The following is a 10,909-nucleotide window of genomic DNA, read 5'->3' as shown; positions in this document are numbered from 1 at the left end:
ATGTTTGGTCCTTAATGATGAAATTAATGCACAGTTGTCTAACTGTAATAATTTCCTTATAATCACACTAGTTTTCCTTTGGTGCCACAAGATGATGAATCTCACTTTAGTGTGACCAAGCAAAATGAGGTACAAAAACAGTCCAATCAATGTGAAAATATCTCAAATTCACAGGAATTTTAAAAATATTTTATATGTAAATTAAATTAGAAATTAAATATATATAATATATTTTATTTCAGAAATATTTGCTTGCCTTTTGGAACTCAAAGTTCAAAACCTTCTATTGTCATCTTTAAATAACTAGTTTTTAAGTTAATTTCTACTTGGTTCTATGAAAATACTACCACACAATGTGGAGATAAAGAAAACATTTACAGAAAAATTGTCCATATGGACACATTTTAAACAGATGATCTAATTAGCATCATAGCCACCAAACTGGTAAATAAACAGTTTTGTTCATTTGCTGCTTAATCAGCATCTATTCAGAATTCTGTAATATTGTTTAGTAAAACAGTTTATTTCCATCCATAAATGTATTTTATAAATTTATGCCCAGTAAACTTCCAGGTAAACCATCGAAATATTAACTGTTTTCTACAAGTGGTGGTCTTTTTTTTTAAGCTGGTTTCTATAATGAATTGATGAGAGTGAATGAAGATTAAAATGCTTATTCTGTAATAAAAGCCAATGCCAGCATGCCGATATATAATCTCTATAGATCAAAAAATATTCGGCCGGGCGCGGTGGCTCACGCCTGTAATCCCAGCACTTTGGGAGGCAGAGGCGGGCGGATCATGAGGTCAGGAGATCGAGACCATCCTGGCTAACGCGGTGAAACCCCGCCTCTACTAAAAATACAAAAAATTAGCCGGGCGTGGTGGCGGGCGCCTGTGGTCCCGGCTACTCGGGAGGCTGAGGCAGGAGAATGGCGTGAACCCGGGAGGCGGAGCTTGCAGTGAGCCGAGGTCGCGCCACTGCACTCCAGCCTGGGCGACAGAGCGAGACTCCGTCTCAAAAAAAAAAAAAAAAAAAAAAAAATATTCATGCCTTATTCTCAGATTTTTAATAGTGGCTCTAAGCAGTCTTAAAAATTTATTACTTAGACACCTTATCCTATATTTTAAAAATATTTTCTTAGTATACTGTGGATGTTATACAAGTCATATAATGGATAGAGAATTTCTTACATAAATTTACAATAAAATTTTTTTAAATAAAACTTTTGTGAAATTATTTTCAAATGTTATAAATGTTAATGAGTTTTGTTATATTGGTTCCAATATTTCTCATATATGGAAAATGTCATTTTCCCTGGGAATTAATATTTGGAACTGGTGTTTAAGAAAAACCATGTTTGATGTTGGAAAATGCTATGTCCGGTATAACTATAGATGTTTGGAAAGCAGCTCAGTTATGCTAAAGATAAAGAAAGGAGAGAAAAATGACAGAAGGGGAGGTTTGAACAAAACAAAATAATACCTGAAAATGTTGAATGGATATGTAATATTTGTGAATGTTTATGTTCTCTATTTCACCATTATTTAAACATTTATATTTTCAAAGGGAGACAATAATTATATTTTGAAATCATTTTATTTTTTTATAGAGTGCTGTATTTTTTCTTTTCAATTTCAATTTGGTAAGCAAACAAAATCAGTCAGAATATTATACATAATTAGGTTTCCTTTTTGAGATTTGTTGAAACTCTTTATCCTTTATGTATGTATTTCAAGTAGTATAATAAAAAAGAAATATAAAATGATTAGATATACATAAAAGTATTGTAGATTATGTTTTTCATATTTTCTTTCTTTTAATGTATTTTGCAGATATAGCCATTCCAGATTATGATTTCACAAACTAAGATGATTCTCAGTAGGGAAGCGTTACTGCATGTCGTTTTCATCAAAGGGAGCTTAGTTTATTTGCCTGTCTGAATATTGACATTATATTACTAATTTACACATTGGGGAAAGGGTCAAGAGAACTCCAAATTTTTGTTGACTTGATATTAACCTGAAAGGGGAATGTTAATAAATGACAAAATATATCCACAGTAGTTAGACATCAAGTTGTGTTTATTTTTTTAATCTACTGCATATTATTGAATTATTTAGATAGATAGATAGATAGATAGATAGATAGATAGATAGATAGATTGATTTATTAGATGTACAGGAAATAGAATTCACTGGTGGGCATGCGTAAAGAGGGGACAGCTCTTTTCTAATGCAGGGCTAGCTGCTTGTCCAGGGGCCCATGATTCCAGGGCTATATTTGGCCCCACAGCCATCCAGGATGAGTTGTTTCTCAGCCACCAAGTCTTAAAATGTATATGCATTAAACTTAGTAAAATCGCACTTCTTTGAGATGTGGCTTTTTGGGCATTCACTGAACTTGAATTTGGCCCTAAATAAGGCCTCAGTCACATGCTCCAGGGTTTGCAGCTTGGTATGGATGAACATGGCCAATGTGAACTCTGACCTCTGGGTCCTGAGGCTTTCCAAAGGCATACTACATCCGGTCTTAAACCTAGACTAGGGAAAGCACTAGATCCAAGACATAAATGTCCAATGGCAAAGGCTGTTGTACGCAAGGAACAGGCTGCTGTACACTACCTAGGATGATGCTGTTTGCAGCCCTTGCACACCAGGCCCCATGTGGCTTAATTGATTGTAGAAATTATTTTATATATTAAGTTTTTGGGGATTCATATCTTTTATTCAAGATAGCTAAATGTAATTTATATTAGACCATATACAGTAAGTTGTAAATTATAGAAGTTGTGCTTATCAAAATCATATTCAGTGGGCAATATGGCCTTTAATATAATGAAGTTTACTGATAAAAATTAAAATAAAATAATGTGGTTTTGTAGTGCTCTTGTATGTCAACTAAAACAAATTAACAAAACCTATTAAAACCCATAATCATTTAGACTATCTACTTACACTTTGGGAGGCCAAGGTGGGCAGATCACCTGAGGTCAGGAGTCAGGATTTCAAGACGAGCCTGGCCAACATAGTGACATCCCATCTTTACTAAAAACACAAAAATTAAACAGGCGTGGTGGTGCATGCCTGTAATTTCAGCTACTCAGGAGGCTGAGGCAGGGAGAACTGCTTGAACTTGGGAAGGGGAGGTTACAGTGAGCCAAGACTGGGCCACTGAACTCCAACCTGGGCGACAGAGGGAGACTCCATCTCAAAAACAAACAAACAAACAAACAAACAAAAACACAACAAAAAAACTATCTACTTAAATACCATTCTATTAAAATAAATATTTTTCTGTGATCTTAGGTTTGTTTTGTCTCAATAATATAAATAGTGTATTGGTTGTCTCAAAGTGTTAAATGGAAGCATATTTTATGGCATTGCTGAAATATCTACCAACTTTTCTTACTGTAAGTTATGCAATGGTGCATTGATTAATGCATTGGAACTTGTTAAGCAGTTTGCATGTCTGAAAAACCAAGGTTCAGAGGTATGTAGGTTAAATCCGGCAATCAAATATCAGAGAGATATTTCAGAATATTATTTTTGTGTACCAGAAAACACTTTTCAAAAAAAAAAAAAAAGTAAGGGCATTAGGAAGGCATTGTAAGGTTAATCTTTTCCAGCAAAGCTATTACATTTATTTTTCTGGAGTTCTTTAGTTATAAAAAGTAGAATGTAGTTATAGGATCTAGTCAGCATTAAATTGATTGAAAAAATGAAAAACACTGTTTCACTTTTAAATAGATTAACAATTAAGCAAGTTGTTTATGTTGTCCCACTGATATACTAGAATATGCTACATTCTTTTGGGCATCTTTTAGACCATAGGGCTAAAATGTTGAGAATGACAGAGAGACAATTAGGAGCTCAGCACAAAGCAAAATGTTATGAATCAGGAAAATAAATAGAACAGAGATCAAAATTAGATAGATGCAGAATTGGAATGATACTGAAAACAAGAGATGGAACTGCAGAAAATACTATGGCAGATCATTCATTCCTTTGAATGGTGAAAGTAGTTAATACAATGGCTAACAATTGAAATGGAAAACCAGACCCAGATGAAAAAATGCAAACCAGTAAACTTACCTAGTCCTATTATTTTACTCAATTGTAGGAAATACATGAAAAAAAAGTTGTTCATTATGAATCCTTTTTTCTAACATGGGAAGAAGTCACCACTAAACCTTTCTCATTTTTTTACTCAAATGTTTGTGTTTTCTCATAGAACTTATAATTTTAATTTATTTTTCAATATATGTTTCCCATACAGTCTAGTTGGATTCATAGTTGCGATGTTTCATGTGGTATATTTGCTCCCTATGGAACAGAACATAACATTAATCTTTAGATGTGTCACTAGAGAGACTTGTATATATCCACATAAATCTACAGTTGCAACTAGAAAAATTATCCTGTGAAAATTTTGTGACACGAATGTCTTTCAACTTTTTAAAAAGTAAAGAGAAAATGATGAACAAATATGAGTTGGAAATCAGAATGAACAAATCATGAAAATATAGTGTACCCCTTCAAAAATTTTGAAAATTAAGAGAAATCGGTAGAACAGCTGTATTATCATTTACAAAAATGTTTCTCTACCTATAGAACAAACAATTACTTTGTCCTCTAATTTCCAAATAACTTACAGAACATTTATTTCCTACTGTCACTGGAATGGCAGGCTGGCAGGCTGAGTTGGTAGCCCAATTGGTTCCTCACATCAAAAGATTCCCTTTATTATTTCCTTATTTTCTCTTTAATTCTGGCACTCCTTCATGATTGAACTTACAGATGTTCTTTTGTCTACTAATTTTCGAGTAAGCCTGTGCTCTCTATAACTTTCAGTCTCAATATCCTTCTACCATCAGCCTTTTGTCTAAACATTCTTATTCTGGTTTGTTTCCCTGAACTCTTGACATCAATCTCTGTTCCTTCAATATTCTGTTTCTTCTACTGGAAGCATTCTTTCCCAGATTTCACCCACTTTACTCTTCTCAATCTCTGTGTCTGAGTTAAATGCTTCCTTAGGTTTCTATGTAGGATTGTCTGTCCATCTGTAATTTTTCTATATCTCTCATGTTAACATACTTATATCCTTTACTGAAAAATGTCTCCTTTAAAAAAAAATCAATGTGTTTGTTTACTTTCTTAAAATGCCGTCTTAAACTGCAAGGTCAAAGAAGGTAAGTATGATATTTGGATATTAATATCTACCACTTAATACAGAAACTATTCTAGCACTTGTATAGGCAGTATAAGACATAATTTTAGAACTCTAAAATAAAAACTCATAAACTGAAGTTAAATATCCATTTCCCACTGCTATCTCCTTTTCCTTTTAACACATTGATATCATTTGGATCTGTGTCCCCACCCAAATCTCATGTCAAACTGTAAGTCCCACTGTTGGAGGTGGGGCCTGTTGGGAGGCAATTGGATCATCGGGCGGTTTCTCTTAAATGGTTTAGCACCATCTCCTTGGTGCTGTTCTTGTGACAGTGAGTGAGTTATTGTGAGTCTGGTTGTTAAAAGTGTATAGCACCTCCCCACCTCTCACTCTTCTTCCTGCTTCCAGCCATGTGAAGTGCTGGCTCCCCCTTCACCTTCTGCCATGATTGTTAGCTTACTGATGCCCCCGCAGAAGCCCAGCAGATGCATCATGCTTTCTGTATAACGTGCAGAACCATGAGCCAATTAAACTGCTTTTCTTTATAAATTACCCAGTCTCAGGTATTTCTTTAGAGCAATGTAAGAAAGGACTAATATAGAAAATTGGTAGAGGAATATGATATTGTTGTAAACATACCGGAAAATGTGAAAGTGGCTTTGAAACTGGATAGTGGGCAGAGATTGGAAGGGTTTGGAGAGATCAGAAGAAGACAGGAAGATGAGGGCAAGTTTTGAACTTACTAGAGTCTTGTTACATTGTTGTGACCAAGCTACTGATAGAGACTCACAATGAAGTCCAGGCTGAGGAGGTCTCAGATGGAGATAAGGAACTTAATGGGAACTGGAGCAAAGTTCACTTTAGTTAGGCATTAGCAAAAAGGTTGGCTGCACTGTGGGCCTGCCCTAGGGATCTGTGGAATTTTGAACTTGAGAGTATCTCAAGTTCTGGTGGGTATCTGGTGGAAAAAATTTCTAAGCAGCAAAGCATTCAGGAGGTAAGCTCACTACTTCTGACAAACTATTGTGATGTGTGTGAGCAAAGAAATGACCTCAAACTGAAACTTATATTTAGAAGGGAAGCAGAGTGTAGAAACTTGAAAAATTTGCAGCCTGGCCATGTGGTAGAACAAAAAGCCCATTTTCAGGAGAGAAATTCAAGCAAGCTGCAGAAACTTGCTTAACTAAAAGGAAGGCACATGCTGATAGCCAAGAAAATGAGGGATACCCTCCAGGGCATTTCAGAGACCTTTGTGGCAGCTCCTCCCATCACAGGCTCAGAGGACAACGAAGGAAGAATGGGACACTACTACATGCATCTCATCTGTTGCAGCTCTAGCCATGGCTCCAAGTGGCCCAGGTACAGCTCAGGATGCTGCTCCAGAGGGTTCAAGCCATAAGTCTTGATGGCTTCCATGTGGCATTAAGCCTGAGGGTGCACAGAGTACAAGAGTTGAGGCTAGATTTCAGAGAATGTATGAACAAACCTAGATGTACAGTCAGAAATCTGCTGCAGGGTCAGAGCCCTGATGGAGAATCTCTACGAGGGCACTGAAGAGGGGAAAGGTGGGGTTGGAGCCACCACACAGTGTCCCTACTAGACCACTATCTAGGGGAACTATGAGAAGAGGGACACTATCTTCCAGACCCCAGAATGGTAGATCCACCAGCACTTGTACCGTGTGCCTGGAAATGGTGCAAGCACTCAACACCAGCCCTTGAGAGCAGCTGTAGGAGCTGAACCCTGCAAAGTCACAGGAGTGGAGCAGCACAAGGCTTTGGGAGCTCACCCCTTGCAGTGGTATGCCCTGGATGGCGTCAAAGGAGATTGTTAAGCTTTAAGACTTAATAACTTTCCTACTGGGTTTCAGACTTGCATGGGGCCCGTAGCCCCTTACTTTTGGCCAATTTCTCCCTTTTGAAATGGGAGTATTTACCCAATCCCTGTACCCCCATTATACATTATATCTTGGGAGTTTTTTTTTTTTTTTTTTTAATTTTACAGGGTCTTAGGCAGAAGGGGCTTGCCTCATCTCAGATAAGACTTCAGACTTTGGATGTTTGAGTTAATGCTGAAGTGAGTTAAGACTTTGAGGGACTGATGGGAAGGCATGATTATATTTTGCAAACTGAGAAAGACAAAATTTGGGAGGGACTAGGGCAAAATAATATGGTTTGGATCTATGTCCCCAACCAAATCTCATGTCAAATTGAAATACCCAGTGTTGGAGGTGGGGCCTGATGGGAGGTTATTGGATTGTGGAGTGGTTTCTTTTTAATGGTTTAATACCATTTCCTTGGTGCTATTCTTATGATAGTGAGTGAGTGAGTTATTATGAAATCTGGTTGTTAAAAGGGTGTAGCACCTCCTCACCTCTCACTTTTCTTCCTGCTCCCAGCTATATGAAGCACCGGCTCCCTCTTCATTTTCCCACCATGGTTATACATTTCATGAGGCCTCCCCACATGCCCAGCAGATGCAACATTCTTTCTGTACAGCATGCAGAACTGTGAGTCAGTTAAACCTCTTTTCTTTATAAATTACCCAATCTCAGGTATTTCTTTATAGCAATGCAATAATGGACTAATACACACCTAATAATATTATTTCCTTGAATCACGCAATCAATTAACAAAATCCTCTGTGTGAAATGGCTGGCTTCCTTTTATTGGTGGTTAACTGCTAAACAATATTTTTGGCATTTCAATTTTGTTGTTATTATTGTTCAAAGCTTGTACAAAGCCTCCATCAAGTAGTCCAATTCTCCAGCTTCTGTCACTCCTGGACAACATTTGTATTTAAAAATACCTTTCAGCCAGGTGACACACACCTGTTGTCCCAGCTACTCAGGATGCTGAGGCGGGAGGAACACTTGAGCCCAGGAGTTCTGGGTTGTATGCACTATGCTGAGGAAGTGTCTGCACTAAGTTTGGCATCAATATGTTAGCTTCCAGGGAGCAGAGGACCACCAGGTTGCCTAAGGAGTGGTCAACTCAAAAATTGAGCAGAATAAAACTCCTCTGCTTATCAGTAGTGGGATGACCCCTTTGAATAGTCACTGCACTACAACCTGGGCAACATAGTGAGACCCTATTTCTTAACAAAAAAAAAGAAAGAACTACCTTCCATATTTCTGCAAGTATGTGAGTTATCTTTGATGTAGTGTTACCTTTTCGCAGTGAATGAAGTGTAATAACCTCTTGCTCATTTTGTTTACAAAAATAAATAAATAAATAAAAGCAGGGACATTCTAAGTGGAATCAAGTTCCAAGTAATACAGACTTAATACTATTTATAGAATAATTCAATTTTATGATATATTTCATGTGTTGCTATCCTCAGTTATATTTACTCATGTATAGTTACACTTGTCAATGTCCTAGCTATAATCACCTATTTTTAGATTTTAATAAATGTAATTAAATTAATAGCATTTCTATTTTTATAACAAGTTCTAAAAGTAAGCCACAGTAGAAAATTCATGATAAGATTAAGTTTGATTTTTATTTCACTTTTATATGTATGAATCTTAAGAATTTGGTATTTCCTATCTAATATTTGTCTTTCTGTTCTTGGAAACTAATTTCAAATTATTTACAAGTTTCAGAAGTATGCAGCCAGTGAAGAATCCAATATCATTTTGTTCAATATACCTATAATTTGAACTTAAATAAGTATACTTCCACAAATGTCACTGAAGCAAGTATTTCAAGTATTTATTTCCAGGTATAATTTCAATTATGGGGTATTCAGATATCTTGTTATATCAACAACTAAACATAATATATTAAATTATTTGAGATATAAAAAGTATATCTTGAAAACAGTGCAGTTGTAAATCTTTAAGGTAGGAAAGCAGCTCAGCAAATGTTTTCCTCCACTGTCCATGAGGCAAATGTCTAATGACTGTACACACACACTCACACTCACACACATACATACACATTCTGTCTCAAATATAGATATATATTCACACTCTGATTCAATGAATTCAACCTCATGACTAAGGATTTGAATAGATAGTGTTTTTTAACCTTCATCCTTTCCTCTACTGCAATTTATAATTGAATTAGCTTACTTATTTCCCAGTAAAAACATTCCAGCATTGTGATACTATGATAAGGTTAAGATGTGAAAGTGTTTTTTACCATTTATTATAGAAAAACTATCTTATTTTCAGATTTCTAAGAACCTTTTCAAATCCACCAAGGAAAAGTGTCTATGCCTTATAGATTGAAAAGCTCATCTTTACCAGTTAATTTACATTTTACTTTTTCCTAAAATATAAGGCTCTCCATATCTGTAGGTACACAGTTTGACTTAATTATCCTATGTTATATATTGTACATAATTATATGAGAGATAATGGCAATTTAAACAAATAAAATGATGGCTATTTCTTTTTATTAACTTCATCATATTTCACTGAGGTTTTCCTTACTTTAGGCTTCCTCGATGGCTGCAATGTATGCTAAAAGTAAATTTTTATGTGAAATGTTTAAAATATTTGAAAATGATGCTTATTGTTTGTCAGGTTTTGCCACTGTTAGCATGACTCAGTACCCATAGAGTCTGTCTCTTAGGGATGTGAAGCAAATGATTTCTCTGATCCAAAACATTTCATATGCCTTAAAAGTCAAACAATGCAAAGATGTGATATTTAGAATACTAGTTACATAATAATGGATAATGACTTAGCTTTTAAAACAACTGCTTTAAACATGACACATTTAAAGCTAATTTGTAACTTTCATATGTTTCTGAAACTTTTATAGTCACTAAATAATTTGAGTAAAGCAAATGGGTTTCAGACCGATTACAATTTGGAAAGATTGATTATAAATTTTTAATAATATGTAACAAAGAAAAATGTGGTCACTTGATTATATACCTCTTCCCCAAGATCAAGTAAATACTTTATCAATAGAAAAAAGAAAGAAAAGCAAAAAGAAAAGAAAAAGAAAGCAACACTGCTATACAGAACATTTTTTTTTCTAAATGGAATCCAGCAGCAAAAAAAAAGATAATTGAAGATACTATTAAAAGATACAATTTAATATTAATATTGACCACATTTATAAATTCACATAATTTTATAAAACATATGCACTTCTGAGTATAAAACACACATAATACAAAAAAGATTATTACATTTTAAATTGTTAAAATTTCCTCAATAGTTTTTCCACACCTGATGATTACTCTCAATCTCAACAAGATAATTATAAATGATGTTTATTATTCAAAATAGATTATTTTGTGTGTGTGTTTTATTCAATTAGGTGGTAAATTATAAGATTTTGCCAGGTGATTCAGAGAAGTAGCCTGGAAAAGTTTATATAGATGGTACTAAATGAAAGATAGAAAATTAAAAATTTATAGTTAAATTTATTAGAAACTTAAAATTCTTTAAAAAATTATAGTTAGGTAAATAAATCAACTAAATTTTTCCTTTTTCCTTCATATTGCAGAGTGTATTATTCCAGCCGGTTTACCGTGCAGGCTTCCCAATTTGATACTAATTTTAACCTGACTTTTATATATCAATATTAAAGAGACGAAAAATAAATGTGATTTTCTCCAGCTCTATATCCCTCCAAGGAGAGCTTTGGAACTGAAATCCTAATCAGGGGATACATTTTTAATATTTTTGTCTCAAATGAATTTGGAGTCCTCCATAGTATTTCCAAAGTTGCAGAGCAGAAAAGAGGTTACCAATAAAATTGGGTAGTTC

The 10,909-nt window shown here is 34.9% G+C and overlaps 2 pseudogenes; one reads left to right on the top strand and one right to left on the bottom strand.

Annotated features, from left to right (window-relative positions):
• Positions 1 to 2,590: 2,590 nt before the first annotated feature.
• On the bottom strand, positions 2,591 to 2,685 carry LOC124900280 (uncharacterized; annotated as a pseudogene).
• RN7SL787P (RNA, 7SL, cytoplasmic 787, pseudogene) lies at positions 7,990 to 8,273 on the top strand (annotated as a pseudogene).

The sequence above is a fragment of the Homo sapiens genome, chromosome 9, assembly GCF_000001405.40.
Source record: "Homo sapiens chromosome 9, GRCh38.p14 Primary Assembly".
NCBI lineage: Eukaryota > Metazoa > Chordata > Mammalia > Primates > Hominidae > Homo > Homo sapiens.
This window is presented reverse-complemented; position numbering and strand designations above follow the sequence as displayed.